We start from the raw sequence: 27457 nt of genomic DNA, 5'->3' as shown, positions 1-27457 counted from the left end.
AGACCAGGAGCAGTGACTCATGCCTGTAATCTCAGCACTATGGGAAGCTGAGGCAAGAGGATCACTTGAGACCAAGAGTTTGAGACCAGCCTGGGCAACATAGCAAGAGCCCGTCTCTATAAGAAGTGAAAGAATTAGCTGAGTATGGTGGCTGGCACCTGTAGTCCCAGCTACTCAGCAGGGTAAGGCAGAAAGATCGCTTGAGCCAAGGAATTTGAGGCTGCAGTGAGCCATGATCACATTACTCTCTACCCTCCAGCCTGGGTAACAGAGCACGGCCCTGTCTCTAAAAAAAAAATTTTTTTTAATTACCAGCAAGGAAATAAGCCCAGAAGAAATTGCGATTTCTTCCCAAGAATATTTGGCCTCAGAGCTAACAGAAAAAAAAGAGGAGAACAAAAAAAGAAAAAAAAACAACAACCCAGGAACTGAGGTCCTATTATCACCTTTTTCCTATTTGCCCCTGCCACTTACCTTTCTACAGCATGATGTTTACTTGCTTTTATTTTAAACCTTCATTAATTGTGTCTTATTTTTAAATATAGCTTTATTTTTTAATGGAATTATAAGTTGCACAACTGCAAGGTTCCACCTAATGTTTTAATATTTTGCTATTAAGACCTGGTGGAATGGCTTGCCAGCTAGAACCAAGAGGTTTATGTGACATTCAAATACTGCCTTATTTTTGTTTCCTTATGGAATTAGGACTCCCTTTTTCCAGTATGTTTTAATTCATTACTCTTCTATCATGCACATTTGTATTAAAGCAAATGTAGTGTTTTGGCTTAATTTGGATGATAGCTTTGGGAAGGACCCAAACCAAACACTTCCAAGGCAAGGAAAGGGAGGGAGATAAATGGAGATTTATCAGGAATTCGCTACGTGCCAGATACTTTTTATTCATGATATCATTTAATCCTCATGCTCCCCTGTGAGATAGTCACATCTAAAACTAGTTCAAAGATTAAGAAGTAGAGGCTCATAGAACAGCTCGAGTGTGCACAAGGCCATGCAGTTTATCCATGTAAGAAGCAGGATTTGAACTCAATTCTAGATGGGTCACCTCCTACCATCTGTTTTTTCACAGCTATTAAAGAGCAGGAATAAACCTATGGTTGTTCCACCAACCCCATCTCTCTCCTCTGCTAGAATTGCATGCCTAGGAAGTTGCTCCGTAAGCATCTGTTTAATCCAAAGGACTTTCAGATTTTCTCCTCTGAATAAGATGCCCTATCAGAGGAAAAATAAATTATTGTAATTTGGCTGGAACATCTCCTAATATTCCAAAAGACACCAGGACAGAGTTGGACTAAGCCTGAACTTTATACTGGAAAAGCCTCACTCAATTTCCCCTCTGTCACTATCTGCTGTTTACTATTTTGTGTTTTTTGTTTGTTTGTTTTTGCTTTTTTTTTTTTTTTTTTTTGGTGACAGAGTCTCACTCTGTCACCCAGGCTAGAGTGCAGCAGCCAGATCTCGGCTCACTGCAACCTCTGCCTCCCAGGTTCAAGTGGTTATCCTGCCTCAGTCTCCCCATTAACTGGGATTACAAGTGCATGCCACCATGCAGGCTAATTTTTTGTGTTTTTAGTAGAGACGGGGTTTTGTCATGTTGGATAGGCTGATCTTGAACTCCTGACCTCAAGTGATCCACCCGCCTCGGCCTCCCAGAGTGCTGGGATTACAGGTGTGAGCCACCACGCCCGACCTGTTTAACATTTTGTGCATCAATTAACTTCCTGAGCCTTTTTCCTCAACTAAAAAAATGATATATACCTTGAGCCCAGGAGTCTGAGATGAGGCTAGGCCACATAGCAAGACCTCATCTCTAAAAAAAAAAAATGGATATAATCTTAAGATGGTCAAGGTTTAGAATCACACACATAAAGTATCTGGCATATTGTGATATTTCAAAAAAAATGAGGCCACTACCAGCAAATAAGATGAAAATAAGTAGAGGACTTCATGACCTGCTGGCTAGAGACAGCTCAGGATAGTTTAGACACATTTATGGGGGTGTTGAGGGGAAGGGGCATGAAAGGTTAGACAGCTGTCACGTGCTGTAGAAATTTGGAAAGAAAACGTAGTGTCTGTTATGGGTTGAATTTTGTCCCCCCAGAATTCATATGTTGAAGTCCTTACCCTGTACCTCAGGATGTAATCTTATTTTGAAATAGTGTCATTACCGGTATAATTAGTTAAGATGAGGTCACACTGGAGTATGGTGGGCCCCTAATCCAATAGGACTGTGTCGTTATAAAAAGGGAATTTTGGACACAGATATACATGCATATGAAGAATGGAGTTATGCAATCACAAGCCAAGGAACTATCAAAAGGTAGAAGAGAGGCTTGGAATACATCCTTCCGTGGTACCTTCAAAAGGAACATGGCCTGGCTGATGCCTTGACCTCAGACTTTCCAAAAGTGTGAGGCAATCAATTTCCATTATTTAAGCCACATGGTTTGCAGTACTTTGTTAGGACAGCCCTAACAAACTAATTCAGTATCTAAAAGGAATGTTTAGGATGTGCAATGAGTTGTTTAACATGTCAAAGCTCTTTAGGGTCAGTTACATGATTCTATTGGATGTGACATTATGCTGAGTTAGAGTCTGGGGGAGAAACTTGAAGGCCAAACTTAATAGAGGCTGCCTAGGAAATCGATGCTGCACAAGCTGAGTAACCATTTGTTGTGGGGGTTTTGTTTTGCTTGTTTGTTCGTTTGTTTTAGAGACAGGGTTTCACTATGTTGGCCAGGCTGGTCTTGAACTCCTGGGTTCAAGCAATCCTCCTGCCTCAGCCTCCCAAGTAGCTGGAATTACAGGAGCACACCACCAGGTTGTGTTTTTTTAAGAGGGTAGGCTGGGCATAGTGGTTCACGCCTGTAATCCCAGCATTTTGGGAGGCCGAGGCGGGCAGATCACCTGAGGTAGGAGTTCGAGACCAGCCTGACCAACATGGAGAAACCCCATCTCTACTAAAAATACAAATAATTAGCCGGGCGTGGTGGCGCTTGCCTGTAATTTCAGCTACTCAGGATACTAAGGCAGGAGAATCGCTTGAACCCGGGAGGCAGAAGTTGCGGTGAGCCAAGGTCACGCCATTGCACTCCAGCCTGGGCAACAAGAGCGAGACTCTGTTTCAAAAAATAAATAATAAATAAATAAATAAGAAGGTAGAATACAGAAGAAAAAATCCTTAGTAGAAAAATGTGCTTGTGGTTTTGCCAGATGGAATGTAAGGTATAATTGAGAGGAATAGAGGTAAAATCTCTCTGTTCCATAGAGAAGGACTAGGGACAAATCACAAAGGAAAGATATTATGGGGTTCAAGCACAAAACTATTAGAGTGAAGCAAAGACAGTTCGGAATTATCCCTAAAGTATCCAAGTCTCTTCCGATACCCCATATACACTTCAAAAGCCACTTAGTGAATGCCAGACACCTCATTTAATCTTCCTGAAGATTTGTAAGAGGAGGAACCGTTATTTTTATTTTAGAAACAAGGGAGTTTGAGACTGTCATGCAAACACCTTTAGGTTGAAAGGGTGGGATCAGCAGAATCCAGGGATCCTGACTTTTAGTCCTGAGTTTACACTATAACTTTATAGCTGCCCAGAATCCATGCAGAGCAACAGGATGATTCAGCAAGGTGGGTGCAGAAAAGTCACACTTTTGAGATCTGTCTCTCCCTGCCATCACTTTTGGGGAATGCAAAATAACATAATCTCTTTGATTAGAACAATTCCTGAGAACTAGAGGGCAGACACAGACAAGTATTGCCCAAGAGGAGCAAGAACAGTCTCTTTCTCATTACGTCATCTTCCCTGAAGACACTAGTGATTGAGATACAGAAAGTATGAGATCACTTATTATCTACCTCTGTTGTACAGTTATTTCGACTTTGACTTTCTTGGGCTGCCAGTGTTCCAGATAAGGGTTTTGTAACACCAGGATTGAGAAAGATTTTAGCTATTTCACATCCTCCCAAGATAGTAGGAAGTTGTCTGCGCATATTTTTTTTTTCTCAAGGCTTCTCTGTACTCAGCCATTATTTAATTAAACACCAGCCATATGCTGGGATCTGCTGGTTCTCTGCTTGACGCATTGCCAGCCTGGTGGCCTCAACTGCAATTTGAAGTTGACAGGCGTACAATACAAAGCTCAGGAGACACTAGGAAGAAAAGGACTTGGCTTGGAGGAATCAGGAAGACCCAGGGAGAGAAAAGTGTGCCGCTCCAAGGGAGGGTTTGCCCAAGAGTGGCTCAGCGGAAACGTGGCAGTGGAATTTGGAATCTGGATTGTTTGTCAGAATTGATAAAGACATTCTTATAAGGAAATGTATCTGTGAAAAGTTGTTTGCCACTCGGGGAGGGAGAAAAATGATTATAGAATTTTGGAGACAAAAATGTATACGCAGCAGTCATTATACACATGATCAGAAGGAAAACCAGAAGATCCAGGGGCCAAAGGGGAATAATTGATTTCTTAAATGGCAGCAAGACTGGATTTGACAACTCTCACGATCAAGAATATTTCTCTGTATTTAATCTACATCTCTTCTGCTCTTAGACTTTATATTCATTTTCTCTTTTTTACCCATTATTGGTCTTTTTCAAAAACAAAAATTTGAGACAGGGTCTTGCTCTTACAGCCCAGGCTGGAAAGCAGTGGTACAATCATAATTCACAGCAGCCTTGAACTTCTGGGGTCAAGTGACCCTCCCAAGTAGCTGGGACTACTTGGGTGCTTGCCACTACCCCCTCATAATTTCCTTTGTAAAAAAAAAAAAAAAAATTTATAGAGACAGGGTTCTCACTATGTTGCCCAGGCTTGTCTCAAACTCCTGTCCTCAACCGATCCTTACCTAGGCCACCCAAAGTGCTGGGATTACAGGCATGAGCCACCACGCCCAGTCTATTATTGGTTTTATAAATAAGCACTGTTTATACAGAGATTTTTATAAGTGTGTCTCATGAACGAATCCAAACAGATTAGATCACAAAGTGTAATAAGTTATGGTTATAGCAGTGGTTCCAATCCATGGGTTTGTAGCATGCTGGTGAATCACCATCAGCCATCAGGTGTGTTGTAAATAGTTTGTTTCTAATAATAAATTACCCAAGTTTGTGAATGATTTACCTATTAATATACAGAGGGTGAGTTGAAGGTCATTTCCATCATAATGTTATTCTCAGTTCTGTGTACTCCAATTTTGTTGCTTGTATAGCACAGATACAGGTGGAGGTCCGGTAAACATGCAAAGAATTGGATATACCTACAGACCACTTATCTATTTGACAAATATTTGTAAAGCACCTACTTTGTGCAGATGCTATGCCTGGCCTGAAGGATACAATCAATGCACACAACAGACATGAGTTCTGTCTTTGGAAAGCTTAGCAAGTGGCAGAAAAAGACTATACCAAGCGCTTTGCATACATTGCCTGAATTTTCACTGTAACCCTGAGAGGTAATGTCATCTTCCCAACTTTATATATTTTAGGCAACTGGAACTCTGAAGCTCGTTCTCTAAACCAGTGGCTTTCAAATGCCTTTTATCGTGCATTCCTGTCAGTGAAGATAATTTTAGTACTTGTGTGTGTGCGTGTGTGCCTGTGTGTGTGTGTTCAAACAAAATATACAAAAGTATACATGTGTATACACTTATCTATACTTATATTTGTATATACTTATATACTTATAATTTTAGCACTCGTGTGAGTGTGTATGTGTGTGTGTGTTCAAACAAAATATACAAAAGTATACATTTGTATATACTTACATATTACATATACACATACGCATATTCTTATAAATTATATGTACATTATTTGAATCTTCTTGTACCCCTCACTTTGAAGACCGGCTCTGCACCACTCCACCATATCACCTTGGAGTTTGTCTATGTGTAATGGGCATAATCCACCTCCAATCTTCCCCCATCTAACCCCAGGTTTTGGTCTAGATTGGTAGGGATGGGAACTTTGCCAAGAACTTGATCCAGGAAGTTTTTTTAAAAAATTAAAAAACAGTACATTTCAAATTTGGTTTTTGTATTGCTAAGGATGCTTTGCAGAGTTCCTTGGTGAGTTTTTTAATACACAAAGGAAAGTTCTTCTGTTAGTTTGTAAATCCTAGTCCTTTCCCCTGTGTTCTTTTTCCTGGCTGGATCTTAAGCACCTCAAAAAAGGAGTGCGTGTCTCGTACATCTATTTCACCTCCCCGCAGCACCCAATAAACAAATGAACATATCAGGAATTCTCCATCCTTTGGAGATGACTTTGTTTCTCATGGGAAAAAGGAGAGAGGATTTTTACATCCATTGTAGCATAAGAATACTATCCTATGGAAACAAACTGTTCCTAGACACAGGAGAGAATAAGTTGGGCTGTTTTGATGTCCCCAGGCATAGAGGGCTGGGAAAGTGCAGCAGGTAGTCTTGTGATGAATGAGGCCACGGAGAGAAAGCCAGGATTCACACTTAATTCCACAAGCACAGGGAAGGTGAGGGTTGAGAAAGTGATTCAACAGATTAGTCCTTCTGTCTCTCTGCCCACTTTGGCTCCAAATTACCCAAGCTGCTGCTGCTTTTTTTTTTTTTTTTTTTTTTTTTTGAGAGAGAGAGAGCTCTGCTGCCCATGCTGGAGTGCAGTGGCGCGATCTCGGGTCACTGGAGCCTTGACTTCCCAGGCTCAAGGGATCCTCCCACCTCAGCCTCCTAAGTAGCTGGGGCTACAGGTGTGCTCCATCACACCCGGCTAATTTTTGTATTTTTTGTAGAGATGGGGTTTCACCACGTTGCCCAGGCTGGCGTCAAACTCCTGGACTCAAGCAATCTTCCTGCCTTGGCTTCCCAAAGTGCTAGGATTACAGGCTTGAGCCACCACATCCAGCCCAAACTTCTTTTCCTCAGCGGAGGTGCCTTTACTGAACTATCAGGAAAATAGGTGCGACCCTTGACTTGATATTACCAACACCTCTGCTTCAGTTGACCCTGTGCTTGGTTCTCATCCATATTCCTGATTCTACAGACTACACCTTGGAGCAGCAGCCTGGGGTTATGGGGTTCTAATTCTTAGCCCAGCCACTAACTTCCTAGGAGGCACTAGCTTCACTTACTCAGCTACACAAAAGTAGGAGTGGAGTTAATTAACAACATGCCAAGGACCTTTTGGCTATGGCATGTTTGACCCTGCCTCTTTCTTTGTTTCTGATCTTTCCTCTCATTTCCAACCTGACCTCCCTGAATGAGGAAACTAGTGACAGGAGGATTTGTCCTGAAAAACTGCCCGTGGCTACAGCATTGTTGTTGATCAGGGAGCTGCAGCAGGAAGCTTAACAGGGGGCTGAGGCCTTTCCTTTCACAGAATGCATGCACACACCCCATTTGCTAACATGTTTTCCATCTGACATTTCAAGTAACTGTCCCCGCGTTGGTGATTCTACAAGTCAAGGTCTGTTCTGCACTCTTTAGAAAGAACGTAAACCGTGACAAATGTTCTCAGTTCAGGCATATGGTGATGCATTGACTTCCTAGTTGCTGGCGTGTATTAACAAACTTATTGTCCCCAAATGTAAAAAATAATGAATTTGCCACCGTGCATGGAACTTTAACAATGTGAAACATATTAGATGTGTTGGATCTTCAGGGACCATCCTTAATTTTTAGTAGAACATTGCCTTTTATTTCCTTAATTTTAAGTGAATTTCAATTGCATTGCCCCTAAAACCTTTTTATAAGATGTTCGCAATAGTTAGCAATTGATGTGTGTGTGTTTTTCTTTTTTTTTTTTTAAGTGGGTGTATTTGTTAGAAATTGTGCTCAGCTATGACTAACAGCTACAGTGATTGAAATATCAAGGGGAAGCCGGGCGCAGTGGCTCATGCCTGTAATCCCAGCACTTCGGGAGGCTGAGGAGGGCAGATCACGAGAAAGAACGTATGAGGTCAAGAGATCGTGACCATCCTGGCCAACATGGTGAAACCCCATCTCTACTAAAATATTATAAAAAATTAGCCAGGCTTGGTGGCGCAAGCCTGTAGTCCCAGCTACTCAGGAGGCTGAGGCAGGGGAATTGCTTGAACCTGGTAGGCAGAGGTTGCAGTGAGCCAAGGTCGCGCCATTGCAATCCAGCCTGGTGACAGAATAAGACTCTGTCTCAAAAAAAAAAAAAAAAAAAGAAAGAAAGAAAAGAAAAGAAAAAAGAAATATCAATATCAAGAGGAGTTTGCTCTCTTTATTTTAATTTTTTCTTTTTTTTTTTGAGATGGTTTCTCACTCTGTTGCCCAGGCTGGAGTGCAGTGACAGCATCTCAGCTCACTGCAAGCTCTGCCTCCCTGGTTCACGCCATTCTCCTGCCTCAGCCTCCCGAGTAGCTGGGACTACAGGTGCCTGCCACCACGCCCAGCTAATTTTTTGTGTTTTTAGTAGAGATGAGGTTTCACTGTGTTAACCAGGATGGTCTCGATCTACTGACCTCGTGATTCCCCCACCTCGGCCTCCGGAAGTGCTGGGAATACAGGTGTGAGCCACCCCGCCCCGCCTAGTTTGCTCTCTTTCTTTCACTCTGATGTTGAAGAAAAGTGGCTGAGCCAGATGCAGTGGCTCCAACATGCCACTAATATTGCAGGCACCTTTATTTCTGTTCTATCAGCTTTACTTCATCTTTGAGGTTGTCTTCTCATTAAAGGCTGGCCACTGCAGTTCCAAACTTTACGTCTGAGTTTGAGGCCAGGAGGGGAGAAAGAGGGAATAGGCAAACAGGCACAAGCCCATTTAGTTAGCTGAGAGGCCCAACCAGCAATGTATGCTTATATTTCATTAGCTAGAACTTAATTAAATGTTTACTTCTATCTACAAGGAAGACTGAAAGGTATAGATTTTTGTTAGTTACATTGCCATTTCCAACAAAATCAGGGTTCCAGTAAAAAGAAAGAGGGAGAGAATGAATTTGGAGCAGCAGCTGCCCTAGTGGGGTTGTTTCTCTTTCTAAAATTAATACACATTTGTTAAGGCAAACTTAAAAAATGGAGCGAAGGAAAAGAAAGAGAAGATAATGATGATATTAACTCCTCAAAGTGACCTCTAGTAGCATTTGTGTGATTATTTTCTTTTTTTAATTAATATTTGAAGATTTTTTTTCTGACCGCCCTTTTTTTTTTTTTTTTTTTTTTGGTGAGGAGACAGAGTCTTGCTCTGTCACCTAAGCGAAAGTGCAATGGTGCAATCATGGCTCACTGCAGCCTCAACCTCCCAGGCTCAAGTAATCCTCCCACTTCGGTCTCCCGAGTAGCTGAAACTACAGCACCACCACATCAGGCTAATGTTTTGTAGAGATGCGGTCTTACTATGTTGCCCAGGCTGGTCTTAAACTCCTGGGCTCAAGAGATCCTCCTGTCTCAGGCTCCCAAAGTGCTGAGATTACAGGTGGGAGCCACAGCACCCAGCCTGATTGTATTTTTCTGATTCTAAAAGTAATGCCTATTCACTTGGGAAACTTTGAGAAAATACAGCAAAGTGTAGAGAAAAAAAAAAAATGGAAATCACCCATAATCCCATTACCCACATTATACTATATCATTTTGTTGTATTTTCTGCTGTTCTAAGTATATATTTTACATACTTATGATCATAGTGTATGTACAAGTTGACACCTTTTTCTCACTTTATAAATAAAATAAGTAAATTTACATATGACCCTACTTCGAGTATTCCTGGGTCCTCATAACACAGCATTTCGAATCTCAGTTGCAAATCTGTTTGGAAAGTGCTTGAAGTAGGAAAGAACAAATAGCATGGACTGATTTTCCCCTGCACTGTTTCTGGGAGACCATACGGCAGATTTGGCTCACTTCTCACTCTCACTCTGAGACCATATCATATGCTCTCCTTTCTTTATTTTTCTATCTCAAAAAATGTCAAGTGTACAAACCAAGAGTTAAAATTATTCTTTAGAACATGAGCTGTCAGGCCCATTCTTACCGTATGGCTCACAAAAGTGGGTTTTGCTCTGGCTTATAAATTCATGAGATGTCAAAGCTAGAAAAAGCCCCCATGGCTGTCAGTCCAAACCACTAATGTAACAGCAAAAAGAAGCAGACAGGAAAAGCGCCCTGCTCAGGATACCACCTGGCAGAATCAGTGCCAGAACCCAGGACCCCAAGTGCCCTTCTAGTGATTTTTCCACCCTACTTTAGATGCTTTTGATGATGCAACTAACTGGTAAACTTCAAAGGTGTTATGACTCCCGCAAAAATACGCATCGATGGCCAGGCGCGGTGGCTCCTGTCTATAATCCGAGCACTTTGGGAGGTCAAGGCAGGCAGATTACGAGGTCAGGAGATCAAGCCCATCCTGGCTAACATGGTGAAACCCTGTCTCTACAAAAAATACAAAAAAAAAAAATATTGCCAGGCGCAGTGGCAGGCGCCTATAGTCACAGCCACTCAGGAGGCTGAGGCAGGAGAATGGCATGAACCCAGGAGGCAGAGGTTGCAGTGAGCCGAGATTGTGCCACTGCACTCCAGCCGGGGCGACAGAGCGAGATTCTGTAAAAAAAAACAAAAAAAAACCGAGCAATAATAACTTTTTCCATTCAGTGTTCACTTGATATGAGCTCAGACTTTTGATAAGAGCCATAGGATTATGCTATAGATGTGCAAAATTTACAGCCTGGTTGGGAAGATGAGGGAGACACATGAACCAATATGGTATATTCATACAGTGGAATGCCGTGCACCTGCAAATGAGGTAATCTGCATGAACTGCCATGGGAAGATGGCCATGACATATTGTTAGAAGAAAAATCCGGATTGCAGAGGAGTGTGATGGTCTATGTGGTATGATCTCTTTTGTAGTTTAAAAGCAAAAGAGTACATTCACACACTTTATGTTTTTATATGCATAGAAAACATTCAGACAAATACAAAACTTTTATAAGTGGCTGCTTCACAGATAATGCGGTTTGAAGATGGAGAAATTATTTTTCTTCCTTTTTTCCTTTTTTCTTACACATTTCTCTTTTTGTTTTGTTTTGTTTTGTTTTTGGAGACAGGGTTTTGTTCTGTCCAGGCAAGAGTGCAGTGGAGTGATCTCGGCTCACTGCAACCTCCACCTCCCAGGTTCAAGCGATTCTCCTGCCTCAGCCTCCCAAGTAACTGGGATTACAGGCATGCACCACCACGCTTAGCTAATTTTTGTATTTTTAGTAGAGACAAGGTTTCACTACATTGGCCAGGCTTGTCTTGAACTCCTGACCTCAGGTGATTTGCCTGCCTCGGACTCCCAACGTGCTGGGATTACAGGCGTGAGTCATTGTGCCCGGCCTTACATTTCTGTTTTCTAAATATAATTATGTACTGCAGTTTCCCTATTGTACATGTTGAATAACCATGGTATCTACCGCAGAGTTGTGACAATTAAATGAATTGTTCTGAATAAAATGCTTGGATATTTGCCAGACCCATACTAAGTGCTCATTAAATATTAGCAATGATGATGATGATGATGATGATGATGATGATGGAAAATGAGTACTCTTATACTGCTACCAGGTGTACGCATTCATACAAGTTATAGGGCCGTTTGATCAGATATATATGTGTAAAGCCTTTAAAATTTGAAGACATTTGACCCAGCAGGTCCACTTGCAAAAATGTCCTCTATGGAAAAAGTTGAGTAAGTCTATAAGAAGTGTATACAAAGATGAATAAAGAAAAAAACATTGGTGACAAGCTAAATGTTCAAAAATGAAAATAGTTTAATAACATATGGTGCATCTTTACAATGGAATAGTATGTCCTCATTGCAGCAACAAATATACTGATATTGTAATAGGCTAATAATCACATAATAGTAAATGAGAAAAGCAAACTTCTGAACAGCATGTACAATATGATCCCGTGGCTACAAAAAGTATAATGTACATATGTATGCTAGAAGCACACATCCTAAAATTGCATGCACAGTATTAAACCCTGGGAAATTGTAAAAATGTTCTTCTTTATGCTTGGGTATAATTTCCAATTTTTCTACAATGAATCTCTATTAGTTGTGTAAGTGTTTGAAAGAAAGGCAAAGGGACTTTGGGAGAGAATTTCGTAATGCAGCCTCCACGCTAACAGACTGCAGTCGGGATGCCTCTGCTGGAGCCTGAGCAGATGCAAGTGCTTCCAGCCTGCAGGGACCAAGTGGGCACATTTTTCCAGTCTCTACTGCAGAATCAGCAGACATGGGACTACTGTCCTGGCCTGACTCAGGAGACTGACTTTGAGATGTTGGCTGAAGGCCAAAGAAGTAAATAGTAAGGAAAACTGGGCCATGTCATTGCCCTCAGCCAACCTGAAAAAGGTTTAATTTTCCAAGAATTGAAGGTTCAACTTCCAAGGATCAAGGGGAGACAAAGACAGGCTACTCACCTCGCCTCTTACTGGGGTTTTCAGAAGTTTCCAGCAGCTTCCCATCAGACTCAGCTAGCAGCCTTGTTTGAGGCTGGTCTGGAATCCCCACTCCGTGTAGGCTCCTTTTAGCCATTTGCCACGAAACAGCAAAGGCTGTCGGCACTCCTCCAAGTAGTCAGCTGCAAGGGGTCTCAGCCTTGCATCTCCTAATTTCTCAAGGAAGAAAGGAACTGGAATTTTACTTAAGCCACTCTCTCCTTTCTGTGATGTTTTTCTGGGCTCCCCAAGGGTGATACTGCTGGAGGGAAGAGAAGGAAAAGCCCCAAGTGAGCTGAACTTCCCATTTACTCACAAGGACTGACCCAGGCATCCCTCAGTTCCTACAAAGGCCCCCACCCATATATTCAAGCTTCATTTGTTGCTATCCTCCCCCATCTCACTCCGTTCTGGTGTTTCTTGAGTATTCTGTTTCTTACATAAACCCTCCCCTTTTTTAGCCTCTGGAATTTTTGCTGGCAACTTCAGAGATCAGCCGATGTGCCTCCTTCTCAGTGCAGTCTTTCCTGATCCCTTGCCTTCCCCACCACTCTGGATTAGGAAACCCTGTTCTGTGACCCCATAGAACCCTGTCCTAAACTCCACAGGGACACTTTTTTATTTATTTATTTTTTATGATACTCTAAGTTATAGGGTACATGTGCACAACGTGCAGGTTTATTACATAGGTATACATGTGACATGTTGTTTTGCTGCACCCATTAATTCGTCATTTACATTAGGTATTTCTCCTAATGCTATCCCTCCCCCTACCCCCCACCCCATGACAGGCCCCAGGGTGTGATGTTCCCCGCCCTGTGGTCCAAGTGTTCTCATTGTTCAATTCCCACCTATGAGTGAGAACATGCGGTGTTTGGTTTTCTGTTCCATAGGGACACGTTTCCATTATGTTAGAATCGTTTGTTCCTGGTCTCTCTTCCCAACTCTAGCATAAGCAACTCGCAGCCAGAGGCCATGCCTTATTCTCCTTTGTATTCTCAGTGCCCAGCACATGGTCTGCGCTCAACACACATTTGTCAAATAATTAAATGAATGAGTTCATTCATCCATCAATTGATCTTTAAATTGGTTGCAAATTATCTTCTTTTTAGGAAAATGCAAACAATTCTGGGAATTTTGAGGGAGCTGATATTAGTTATTCTCATTTTAGTGTGAATTCATTTGTCTGATTCCATTTCTTTCCTTTCATGTTAAAGTAAGGAATAGGGAATTGAAATTTGACTTGGAGATGAAATTCTTAGAATGGAGAACAGTAGTTCACTTTGGATAGAATATAAGGTAGGGCACGATGCACGCTTATGGGTAGTGAAACACCAGCCCTGTTTCTAAAAGTGTGACAAGTTACATCAAAATCACCTGAGTGCTTATTAGAAATGCAACATCCAAGGCCCCAACCCAGACCCACACTACCTAGAATCTAGTGAAATGGGCATGTGGAGCTTCATTCATCGTCAGCCAGTTCTGATCAGAGGAATTAGAAAGGCCTAAAGTTACTAGACATTTGGGGTCATGAGGAGAGATGCAGATGGAGGTAGGAGCACCCAGAGATAGAGAGAGGAACATGCCAAGGTAAACCTCATCTGTTCTGAAATTTTGTCTAAGATTCCCCATAAAAGAAAGCTCTTACTGGGCGGGGAGCCATAGCTCACGCCTGTAATCCTAGCACTCTGGGAGGCAGAGGTGTGTGGATCACGAGGTCAAGAGATCGAGACCATCCTGGCCAACATGGTGAAACCCTGTCTCTAATAAAAATACAAAAAAAAATTAGCTGTGTATGGTGGCATGGGCCTGTAGCTCCAGCTACTTGGGAGGCTGAGGCAGGAGAATCACTTGAACCCGGGAGGCGAGGTTGCATTGAGCGGAGATCACGCCATTGCACTCCAGCCTGCGCAACAGAGCAAGACTCCGTCTCAAAAAAAAAAAAAGAATAAAGGAAAAAAAAAAAAGAAAGCTCTTTCTTTCTTTTCTTCATCTCAATTCACTGTTTTATGTCACATAAGAATTAATACTACTCTACTCTTGGAAATTAACATTAAGCATAAAGTAGTAGAATGGATAAGAATATATATGGATGCTAGTGATATACTGCCTAGTTCAAACTCTAGCTTTAAACTCACTTGACATATAACCTTGGGTAGCTAATTTCTCAGTGCCTCCGTTTCCTCATACGTAAGATGGGAATGATAACAGTAGATACCTGCCTTCCAGGGCTTATGGAATTAAATTAACTATAACATACAAAGTACTTAGAACTTCATTAGCAAGCACAATGTATATTAGATATTAACATTATTCTATAAACTATAAATAGGCAAATAGTTGTGTTCTTAGACCCAACAACCATAGACCATGTTGGTTTTTAAGAAATGCTTTTTTCTGCTGGACACAGTGGCTCACGCCTGTAATCCCAGCATTTTGAGAGGCCGAGGTGGGGGGAACAATTAAACCCAGGAGTTCAACTCCAGCCAGGGCAACATAGGGAGACTTCATCTGTACAGGAAAAAAAAAAAAAATCAGCAGGGTATGGTGGAACACACCTGTGGTCCCAGCTACTTAGGAGGCTGAGGTGGGACTGCTTGAGTCTGGAAGGTTGAGGCTGCAGTAAGCTATGATCGTACCACTGCACTCCAGCCTGAGCAACAGAGCAAGAAAACCTTGTCTCAAAACAAAAGAGAGAAAATGTTTCTTTTCAGATTTAGATTTTTATTTTGATTATGAATATTTTCAGATATACTAAGACATAGAGAAAATGGTAGACAGTCTCCATAAAATTATCACCAGTAATTATCAAGATTTTGCCATATTAGCCTAATCTATCCTTTAATAAAATATTTTAAAGAAAATCATATATATCATGTCATTTTACCCCTCTGTATTTCATTATGCATCTCTAAAAAATATGGATAGTTTCTCACATTACCTCAATTTTCTTACAGTATCTGTGACATAAGGATTTCTTGGTATCAGCTAAACCCAGTCAATGGCAGCATATTTCCCTAATAGTTGAAATCAGAATCCAAACCTGGTCCATCATCACATTTGGTCCTAATATTTCTTAACTCTCCTTTAATCTAGAACAAGCTTTCTTGCCTTTGCCTCATGCCATTGACTTCTTGCAGAAGCCAGGTCAGTCATCTTTTAGAATGTACCACATGCTTACAGTGACCACGCCTCAAGTTTTGCATGAGACAGCCCCAGTTTATACCTTTTGTCCCAGTACAATTATGAGTAACACTCCTCTACTCTTAGTTGCCTACCCATTGGGAGTTTGTCTTTTTGTTTTACTGTCTGCTTTAATTTGTTCTATCTGCCATATTTCCTATACATTGACATTAGCGAAAGGCCTGATGCAGCCTCATCTTTTTTGATAAGAATTCTTCCCAGATGGTTCTGTTTGCTGCAAATATCCTTGTACTGGGAGGTTTATAATGTGTGATTGTCCCACTTTTAGTGGTACTCAAATTGATGAGTGAATTCTGGGAATATAAGCATGATCAAGCCATTGTAAAGTTCTTCGTCTACCTTTCATCTCACGGTTTCATTCCTTGTTGATAATTGCTTGAATCAATTATTACATTCGATGTTAGAAAACAGCTCTAGCTCTATCAGTCCTTCCATATTTATTGGCTAGAATTTTTTTGTAAAGAACTTTCCCTTCTCAGTTAGGGCTTGGTTATCCTGCAGTGCAATGTATACAGAATCAGTGCTTAACTCTTTCCTTTTAATGGTCAATTTTCAGAACGGGAAGTTGAAACCTTAGTTACTTCAAGTAGTGTCCAATTTATTAATTTTTTTGAGTTTTTTTTGTTGTTTGTTTTTTGCTATGGTGATTTTTTTCTGTTTAAAAAATTTTGTATCATTATAAATTCATGGGTTCTTATATGCTAAGCTTAAATACATTTATAAAATAAATTATCCTCATAAATTAGGAGCAGTCTATATTAGTCAGGGTTCCCTGGAGAAACAAAGCTAATAGAATGTGTAGAGAGAGAGAGAAAGAAAAAGAGAGAGATTTATTTTAAGAAATTAGTTGACACAGGCCAAGCACGGTGGCTCATGCCTGTAATTCCAGCACTTTGGGAGGCCAAGGCAGGCAGATCACTTGAGGTTAGGAGTTTAAGACCAACCAGCCTGGCCAATGTGGTGAAACCCATCTCTACTCAAAATACAAAAATTAGCGGGTACACACACATCATCCCAGCTATTCAGGAGGCTGAGGCTTGAGAATCACTGGAATCCAGAGGCAGAGGTTGCAGTGAGCCAAGATTGTGCCACTGTACAGAGCAAGACTCCATCTCAAAAAAAGAAATTAGTTCACACAGTTTTGGGGGCTGGCATTTCTGAAATATGTAGGGCAGGCAGGCAGACTAGAAACCCAGAGGAGAGTTACTGTTGCAGCTCAAGTCCGAAGGCAGTCTGGACCTCAGTCCTCGTCTCTTAAGCTTTTCGACTGACTAGAGGAGGCCCACCCACATGATGGAGGGTCATCTGCTTTACTGTTCTACTGATTTAAATGTTAATCTCTTTTCAAAAGTACCTTCCTAGCAACATCTAGACTGGTGTTTGACCAAATATCTGGGTACTGTGGCCTAGCTAAGTTGATGCATAAAATAAACTATTACACTGTCTCCATATTTTAAAATAACAATAGCATCTCAGGGTAGAAAATGCAAAAAGTGGTAGAATCAATGCTTACTGTGAGTGTTCATATGTGGGAGAGAGCACTCAGGCCAAACCCAACAAGAAACATTTGAATTTGTAATTTCTGAATGTTCTGCTGGTTTTCACGCTAGACAGAGCTGACAAAAAATCCCCCTGGTTCTGCTGCTTCCTATGTAAACTTGAGGAACTCACATTAGTTCAATGAGCCTCAGAATCTTCATCTAAAAAGCAAGGATAATAGCATCCATTTGGCCTGCCATTTGACAGCCAAGAGTTTGTGCACATTTTGAAATCTCTGTATGTTACACAAATATGTTATTAGACTACTTTTGTTAAGACCCAATGAACCAGAGTGTCAAACAAATGTACCTTGAAGCTATAGTCGTAAGTGTAATGCTGCATTACAATGTTCAATGACTTTATTTGACAGATGCCTTTACTCTCAGGTCTCACATTTTAAGAAAAGGGAAAGTTGTTATTCTTCTAAGGGAAAAAGAGTAAGAGCACTAATTTTCCATATGAATGCCTCTATCAGTAAGTACATGTTTTCCCTGTAGTCTCTAATTCTCTATGTCAGCAATGTAACAATGACAAATGCAAAGGATAAAGGTAGTTATCAATGTAATAATGACAAATATGCAGGCTGTCTCTTTGTTATCCATTCAACAAACACTTATAAAACGCCCACTAAATGTGAAAGACTATGCCAGGTGCTATTGAAGACACAGAAATGAATCAATCCAGATTCTGTCCTCAAGCAAACTATAGGCTATTAAGAGGAAGAAACCATAATTAAAAAGGAAAAATCTATAAGATTTGAATTGAAAAGTACAATGAGAGTGCTTGGTAACAGCCTGTGGAAGCCTGGAGAAGGAGAGATGAGTTTCAGTTGCAGGTTCCAGACAACTTCTTGGACAAGGTGGCACTGAAGCTAGGCTAAAGAATAGGAATAGATTTGGACTCATGAGATAGGCAGGGTAGGGCAGATGAAAGGTGGGGAGGATGTTGTGGATGCGGTGGGAGTATAAGATAATTGAAGGGCCTAAGAAGTAGGAAAAAAGTATGGACACATGCTATGTGTGGCAACCAACGAGTTCTTTCCTTTACCTCTAACTTCTTTCTCTGCAATTTTAGAAAGGGTCTTAGGATTCGTCTAATACTAGGATGGCAAAAAGTCTTCATCTGTCTAGCTCACCAACTTCAATTGATGGGTAACAGAAGGTCACACCTGGTTGGTCAGCTCAATGGAGAGGGTTATTGTCCTATACCACTTCATAAATTAAAGTTTTATTAAAATCATGATGCTTGGCTGGACACGGTGACACATGCCTGTAATCCCAGCACTTTGGGAGGTCGATGCAGGAGAATCGCTTGAGTCTACAGGTTTGAAACAAGCCTGGGCAACATAGTGGAACCTCATTTCTACAAAAAAAATAAACAAAATTAGCTGGGCATAGTGGCATAAGCCTGTAGTCTCAGCTAGTTGGGAGGCTGAAGTGGGAGACTCACATAAGCCCAGGAGGTTGAGGCTGCAGTGAGCCAAGATTGCACCACTGCACTCCAGCCTGGGCAACAGAGTGAGACCCTGTCTCAAAATAATAATAATAATTATGATGCTTTCCAACTTTAAAACTCTATGATTCCCAGAAGCCAAATCTTGTCTGGAAGTTTAAACATTTTAGATATAAATTTTTCTTAGCTAGAACACTTATACCCGTGCTTCCTAAACATAAAATACAGAACTTAATCTAGCCTTCTTGATGATTCAGATTTGTCATGATCGAAAACAGGAGGGATTGTACCGTGCAATATCACAGCATTGCCAGGATCCATGGAGGCACAGAGGATTATTTACTCTTAAATTTAGTGACTCCAAAATTCTCTCTACTTGGTATATATAATTTTTTATTTTTCTTCTGCCTGGTTATTGGGCATTTAGCTCTCAGATTTTGGTGCTTTCAGTATGTCTACCTATTTTGCCCACTTTTGTTCTGTCTGTTTGCTGAACCTATTCTACTTGAAGCTTGGAAGTTACATAAGAAGTTCTGTTAGAATTAGGCATAAAATAAGAGTAAATAAGCTCTGAGTATGAGTCTAAGAGGATTGCCTACATGTAAAGTATCTTAAGTCTTAGTGCCATCTGGTCTGGCTGTTTAATTAAAAGGGTGTGTGTGTGTGAGAGAGAGAGATAAAGAGAGAGAGAGGGAGAGAGAGAGAGAGACAGAGACAGGGAGACAGAGACAGAAAGAGACAGAGAGAGAGAATAAAGAGAATGTATATATGTATGTGTGTGTGCACATAAATGTATTTTTCCCTTCTAGTTTTTTACTATGACTGTAAGACAGCTAAATTCAAGATAAGTAAAGTATGACAGTTTATAATATGCCTAGAAAAATTGAGAAACATAGAAAAATCTAAGATAACAAGAAATTTTGTCACACTGCATAGAAGAGATAATCATGGTTGCCCCTGCTGTTGTACAGACCCTGTGATGATCATGAGGCAATGCAAAGAGCAACCATTGTCTCTGAGAGACAGCAGCTACAGGATTAGGCCAAGCTCCTATGGGGAAACTGAAAGAAAATTATTATTAAACTTGAGGTTTCCTGATCCCAAACCAGACTTCCTTCAACTTCTATGAAATTCTGCCCATATGATCATTATTATTAGACATCAAAAGAAATCCTGCACTTCCGCACTACATTGAAAGAGCATGTATCCCAGGGATGTGGGTTTGGAGTAAGTCAATGCATCCCCCCAAAAAATCAACCAGTGAGTGGCTGAACAGAATCACCTGGAGAGCTTGTTTAGAATATGGATGCTTGGATCTCATTATCTAGAGTCTCTTTAGCAGCCTGGAGATTGAAACCAGAAGTTTGAGAGAGGTTTTCATCCTTAGACACTTAAGCATTCAACTCCATCATAACTGTAGTACAATGATCACACCCAGGTTTGATTTTAGAGAAACTCAAATTGTCTTTGTGCTTCCAAACATTTAGCATTTAATATTCAGGCCTGGGGCTTTAGGTAATCAAGAGGTCATTGCTTTTTTTTTTTTTTTTAGAACGCTCCATTTTTTCTGCCTCTGCCTTTCCTGTCCAGCTCACTATGTACTTCTCAGCCCTTTCACCCATGCCTGTGCCAAAATAACAGGCTATCTAGGTATGCTTGACATCCCAACCAACTTCTTTCTGTTCTACCTCTGCTCCTGGTGCTGAACTGGAAGTGGCGGCAAGGTTACTATAGGACATCCTAAGAGCCTTTCCCTGCTACACAGAGGGAGTGGGGGAGTAGGGGGAGGCTTTTTGCAGCAAAGATGATGTTTCTGAAGAAAAGGTCAAGTGGTCAAAAGTAATGTTCACAGCAAAAATTGTGACAGTGTCCCAGCTAGGAAGTAAAAGTGTTCTCCAGTGTTGAAGGCACATCTGTCTTCTGCAACAGCAGCGACAGGGGTTCTTACTGAGAATATACACAAGGAAAAGTGTTTTTGCTCATATCACCTCAATACTCACAACGGCTCTAAGATGAAAATATTGTTGTCCTTACTTTATATATAATAAAACTAAGGTTGAGAAGTAATTTGGTCAAGCTTGTACAATAAGAAAGAGGCAAAGCTGGGTTCAAAATCATCACAACAGATGCAAAACCTGAGTCTCAGCCACTGGGCTGTATTAGCACACAACCAGATTTATTTGTTTATTTTTTATTTTTTTATTTTTTGAGATGGAGTCTCACTCTGTTGCCCAGGCTGGAGCGCAATGGTGCAATCTCAGCTCACTGCAACCTCTGCCTACTGGTTCAAGCAATTCTCCTGCCTCAGCCTCCCGAGTAGCTGGGATTACAGGCATGTACCACCACACCCACCTACTTTTTGTATTTTTAGTAGAGACAGGGTTTCTCCATATTGGCCAGGCTGGTCTCAAAATCCTGACCTCAGGTAATCTGCCTGCCTCAGCCTCCCAAAGTGCTAGGATGATAGGCGTGAGCCACCACACGGGGCTGCACAACCAGATTTAAATACATATTCAGATGTTACAAGAATCCTGACACCTGCCTGTGGTCCTAAGCAATGCTATGGAGGATACATTCCATTCCTATACTTTGAGGTCATTGTAGCAATACTGAATCCTATGGGAGTAAGAGCTAGACACTTTGCATACACCAAAAGGCTGAGAAATCCTCTGTCCTTGGAAGTCATTGTCAGGATCTGCAGCTGACTCAATGCCTGGGAGAAACTTGTGGGTGACGCTATCCTATTGAGAATGCAGACAGCCCTCTCCATCAGAAAGATAGAGCACTATGGAGCTCACAAGAAACCACAGGAAAACAGCCTTCCCATGGGTCTACAGGACTTTGGGATCCCTGCTGCTGCAAAGGGGTTGCATTCTCCTTTCCCAGATTCAAAATTAAACACCAATATGACAGATCTAGGTATAAATAGCATCTTCACCAATGAACATTTAACCCAGTGTTTTTTTTTAACTCTCAAGGTGTCTGAGGAGCTCCACAAAGGTGTCTTAAGAGACACTGCAAAGAAACAAGGTAAGTGCAATATGCCTGAGTTTTCCCAACCAACCCCATTTCAACCAGAACAGGGCTGCTGAAATGTGTTTTATATGTTAGGCTTCCTTGTAAGCTTCTGTTTGAAGGAAGGATTCCATGTCAAGAACCATGTTTGTAAATGACAGTTTCTATCCTCTTGAGTTTGACTACTATTATTCCTAAATCCTACCAGATGGTTGGAGATCTAAGACTAAATAAAATCTAAGGAATAGGCCAGGTGTGGTGGCTCACTCCTGCATTCCCAGCTCTCTAGGAAGTCAAGGCGGGCAGATCACTTGAGCCCAGGAGTTCGAGATCAGCCTGGGCAACAAGGCAAGATCCTGTCTCTACTAAAAATATGAAAATTAGCTGGATATTGTGGCACCTGTAGTCCCAGCTACTCGGGAGGCTGAGGCAGGAGGATCACTTGAGCCTGGGAAGTCAAGGCTACCGTGAGCCAAGATCACACCACTGAACTCCAGCCTGGGCAACAGAGTGAGACCTTGTCTGAAAAAAAAAAAAAGGAATAACCTCCCCACAACGTAACAACAGGTACTTTTTTTTTGGGTGGGGGGAGGAGGGACAAAGTCTCACTTTGTCTCCCAGGCTGGAATGCAATGGTGCAGTCTCGGCTCACTGCAACCTCAACCTCTGAGATTCAAGTGGTTCTCTCACCTCAGCCTCCCTACAGGTGCATACCATCATACCCAGCTAATTTTTGTATTTTTTTGTAGAGACAGGATCTCACCATGTTGCCCATGCTGGCAGAGCCTTATCTCCCTTTGTTTAGGCTGGAAATGTCAAATATTCACTTTCCCAGCTTCCTTGGTAACTAGGACATGGGAATATGTCCCATTTCTCCAAAAGTCTTCTGGGAAGAGCTTTTCTCTCTCTTAAAAAAAAAAAAAAAGTAATAGGTTCGTGAAAATGCCCCTCTTCTTCACTTGCCAGGCCCTTGGAAAACATTATCCCTTTTTATCCTCATAGCAACCCTATGAGGTAATTAATAATATCATGCCAAGTTTAAAAGTGGAGAAACTGAGGCTCAGAAAGGTGAATAACTTGACCAAGATCATATCTAATAAATGGTAGGGCCAAGATTTGAACCCAGATCTGTGTGACTCCTGTTATGGGTTGAATTGTGTCTCCCTAAAAAGATATGTTGAGGTCCTAATCCCCAGTACACAGAATGGGGCCTCATCCAGAAATAGGATCTCTACAGAGGTAATCAAGTTAAAATAGGGTCATTAGAGCGGGCCCTAATCTAATATGACCTGCCTAATTATAAAAAGGGGGAAATTAGTGCACAGAGACAGACACATGTAGAAGACAGTCTAAGGCATGCAGGGAGAAGACAGCCATGTGTCTGGAATGATGCATCTCTAAGCCAGGGAACTCAAGAATTGAATGTAAACACTGGAAGCCAGAGAAGGCAAGGAAAGATTCTCTTCCCATAGAGCTATCAGAAAGCATGACTCTGCCATTACCTTCATTTCAGATTTCTAGCCTCCATAACTATGAAACAATACATTTCTGTTGTTTGAAGCCACCTATTTTTTGTTTGTTCGTTTGTTTTTTCTCTTTGACAGAGTCTAGCTCCATCGCCCAAGCTGGAGTGCAATGGTATAATCATAGCTCACTGCAGCCTCAACCCTCTGGGCTCAAGCAATCCTCCTGTCTCAGCCTCCCAAGTAGCTAGAACTACAGGTGAGCTACCGCATGAGGTCCCATTTTTTGGTACTTTGTTGTGGCAGCCCTAGGGAACTAAAGCAACTCCCAAACTGTTAAAGAGATTATTATTAGAATGCCTCCCTGAAAATGTGCAAATTTAGATATGTTTGCCTGGGAATGGCACTGCAGTAGCAGAGACAATCCTAAAAAATAGTGATCATCTTGGCCGGGCATGGTGGCTCACACCTGTAATCCCAGCACTTTGGGAGGCGGAGATGGGTGGATCACTTAAGGTCAGGAGTTCAAGACCAGCCTGGCCAACATGGTGAAGCCCCGTCTCTATTAAAAATACCAAAAATTAGCCAGGTGTGGTGGCATGTGCCTGCAGTCACCTAGTCAGGAGGCTGAGGTGGGAGAATTATTTGAACCCGGGAGGTGGAGGTTGCAGTGAGCCGATTTCATGCCACTGCACTCCACCTGGGTGACAGAGCGAGACTCTGTCTAAACAAACAAAAAAAAAAAATAGTGACCATCTTCATGAAGGCACAAAGGCAGAGCCAGGCAAATCTGTATTGGCCTATTATGCGTGTCCGTGTAAAGAGACCACCAAACAGGCTTTATGTGAGCAATAAAGCTTTTTAATCACCTGGGTGCTGAGTCCAAAAAAGGAGTCAGCAAAGGGAGATGGGGTGGGGCAGTTTTATAGGATTTGGGTAGGTAGTGGAAAATTACAGTTAAAGGGGGTTTTTCCTCTTGTGGGCAGGGGTAGGGGTCACAAGGCGCTCGGTGGGGAGCTGCTGAGACTCACTGTCCAGGAGAAGGAATGTCACAAAGTCAGTTGATCAGTTAGGGTGAAGCGGGAACAAATCACAATGGTGGAATTTCATCAGTTAAGGCAGGAACTGGCCATTTTCACTTCTTTTGTGATTCTTCACTTGCTTCAGGCCATCTGGATGTATACATGCAGGTCACAGGGGATATGATGGCTTAGCTTGGGCTCAGAGGCCTGACATTCCTGTCTTCTTATATTAATAAGAAAAACAAAACAAAATAGTGGTGAAATGTTGGGGTGGCGAAAATTTTTGAGGGTGGTATGGAGAGATAATGGGTGATGTTTCTCAGGGCTGCTTCGAGCGGGATTAGGGGCAGCATGGGAACCTACAGTGGGAGAGATTAAGCTGAAGAAAGATTTTGGGGTAAGGGGTGATATTGTGGGGTTGTTAGAGAAGGAGCATTTGTCATATAGAATGATTAGTGATGGTCTGGATGCGGTTTTGTATGAATTGAGAAACTAAACAGAAGACACAAGGTCCAAATAAGAGAGGGAGGAAAACAGTTATTAAAGGACTAAGAATTGGGAGGACCCAGGACATCCAATTAGAGAGTGCCCAAGGGGGTTCAGTGTAATTATTTGCTTGGTTGGCGAGTTTTTGAGCTCTATCCTTGAGTTTTTTATGTTGTCATATACCAAGCCAGACTGATTTAGGTAAAAACAACACTCTACATTTAAAAATATACACAGTCCTCTTTCTTCAGCAGTGAGTAAGTCAAGGCCTTGGAGATTTTGGAGGAAAGAGAAATGCAAAGCCAGCAATTGTTTGTTAAAGAAGGATTAGAAATGGCTAGGAGAGAGTGAGTGAGATTGACAGTGTGGTGAAGATAGATGGGGAGAGTTAGAGGGTGGCATAAGAACGGGAATGAGAATAAGAGTGAGTATAAAAGTAAATAATATGACTTCATCAGGGTGAAAGCATTGGAGGGTGCCCTGTCAGCAAACATCATCTATCCTCTCCAAGAGGGAGTCAAGAGTGGTGGATTGGGGATAGTACCAGGAGATATCCGCTACGATGGTTTGGAGAAAAAGTGTAAACCGGCAGTGTAAACAGGGGCAGGGCATTTATGAGTAGTTGAGAATGGTGAATAGGAGTATGACGAGACAGAAGATAGTAGGGATGACAAGTTTTTGGGGTGCAGTCCAAGTAGTGGGGGTGACTGCAGTACTAGTACTGCTGCTGCCTGTCCTCTTAAACACTGTGGGGGGTCCAAAACTAGCTGTAACCAAGAATCTATATACGGAACTGATCTGGGTGCCCTGGCTTACAGTTTACCCTGTGCCATACCTTTGAAACAAGGGACCTGTCCAGGCTTCCTTCTGATGGCCAACCTATCTCTAATGCTGGCCAGTCTATCTCACACAAAGTTCTAAGTTTTCCGGGTGTCATAGTAACTCCATAGTCTCCCTTAAATCCCTTTTCGAAATTTTTCAACATAGTTCCTAGTGGGGTGGGCTTACTTTGTGCCTGACCCATGTTTCCTTGAGACAAAACACCATGCTTACACCACACGCACACCACAAAACAAAGAATGGGTAAAAAGGGCACACACGCACTGTTTCAGCTTACACCAAACCAGAATCAGAACCAAAATCAGAGTATCAGGAAATCCAAGCCAGGTCAAAAGCAAAACCAAAGTATCAAGCAATCCAAGTCAAGTCAAAAACAAAAACCAAAGTGCCGATACGGGCATGCCGTGGGTGATCAGGCCACGCTTCCACTCAAATGGAGTAGGCAAGTTCCAAAGACCAGACTTACCAAGTTACAGATGTCCGGACTCCAAGTGCCAGTTCCTTCCTGGTGTTCAGCCACTGCATTGATCCTCCACGGGGGCCTGCCACGTGCTGCTCTGAGGATGCATTCCACTGGGGCAATTGCCTACCTGGGAGCACTCTCAGGATCCGCATCACTCAAGCTGGCTGTAGTCCCCTGCAGGGATGCTCCACAGGACAGGCCTAAGCCACCTAAAGGGCTGCCTCGACAGTCCGTTAATCACCTTGCTTCCCAATCAGGGAACCAAGAAATGTAGCAGGACAAGCCGCAGACAAAACCCCTCAGACACCAAGTTAAAGAAGGAAGGGCTTTATTTGGCCAGGAGCTTTGGCAAGACTCACGTCTCCAACAACCAAGCTCCCTGAGTGAGCAATTCCTATCCCTTTTAAGGGCTTACAACTCTAAGGGGGTCCGCGTGAGAGGGTCGTGATTGATTGAGCAAGCAGGGGATATGTGACTGGGGGCTGCATGCACTGGTAATTAGAACAGAACAGAACAGGACAGGGATCTTCACAGTGCTCTTCTCATGCAAATAACTGATTAGGTCAGGGGCCGATCTTTAAACTACCAGGCCCAGGGTGACGCGCCGGGCTGTCTGCTTGTGGATTTCATTTCTGCCTTTTAGTTTTTACTTCTTCTTTCTTTGGAGGCAGAAATTGGGCATAAGACAATATGAGGGGTGGTCTCCCGCCTTATCTGGAACAAGGTTGGGGCCTAGCAAGAAAGTGCATCCATATAAAAGTTCAAATGGACTGTACCCTGCAGCACCTTGAGGACAGGCTCTAATTTTGAGAAAGGCAAGAGGTAAAAGTACTGTCCAATCCTTTGTAAGTTGGAGGCTGAGTTTGGTGAGGCGTGTTTTTAAAAGACCATTAGTCTGTTCTACCTTTCCTGAGGATTGAGGACGGTAAGGAGTAGGAAGGTTCCACTGAATACCAAGAGCCTGAAAAACTGCTTAGGTGATTTGACTAATAAAGGCCGGACCACTGTCAGATTGAATAGAAGTAGGGGGGCCAAATCAGGGAATTATATCTGTTAGAAGGGAAGAAATGACCGCAGTAGCCTTTTCGGAGCTAGTGGGAAAGGCGTCGACCCATCTGGTGGAGGTGTCGATCCAAACAAGCAGATATTTAAATTTACGGAAAGTCAATCTGCCAACCTTGTGTTGGAGTAAATCCACAAGCCTGATGCATAGGAAAAGGACAAGGCCTGAGAAAGCCTTGGGGGCTGGTGGCATGGCAGACAGAGCATTGAGAGGTGATGGTCTTAAGGATGAATTTCCATGAAGGGAAGGAGATGAGGGGCTGCAGGAGGCAAGCCAGAGGCTGGTATCCCACATGGAAGTGGTCATGAAGGGAAGAAAGAATGGACTGAGCTTGTGAGGCAGGAAGAGTGAATTTTCCATGATCTAAGAACCACTTGCCCTGAGTTGGAAAAGACTGGTAGAGCAGGTTTTCAGAAGAAGAGTAGGTGAGAGTGATAGAGGAGAAAGAAAAATACTAGCCTTCTGGAGTAG

General features: G+C 42.1%; 1 protein-coding gene across 1 annotated transcript in view; it reads left to right on the top strand.

Annotated features, from left to right (window-relative positions):
- Positions 1–27457, top strand: part of SMIM36 (small integral membrane protein 36) — an 82292-nt gene that overhangs the window by 31722 nt on the left and 23113 nt on the right. Inside the window, exons 2-3 of the mRNA NM_001395421.2 lie at positions 20846–20966; positions 21613–21664. The gene's annotated coding sequence lies outside the window, so the exon portion shown is untranslated. The remainder of the gene's footprint in view (positions 1–20845; positions 20967–21612; positions 21665–27457) is intronic.

Source organism: Homo sapiens, chromosome 17 (genome assembly GCF_000001405.40).
Source record: "Homo sapiens chromosome 17, GRCh38.p14 Primary Assembly".
Classification (NCBI taxonomy): domain Eukaryota; kingdom Metazoa; phylum Chordata; class Mammalia; order Primates; family Hominidae; genus Homo; species Homo sapiens.
This window is presented reverse-complemented; position numbering and strand designations above follow the sequence as displayed.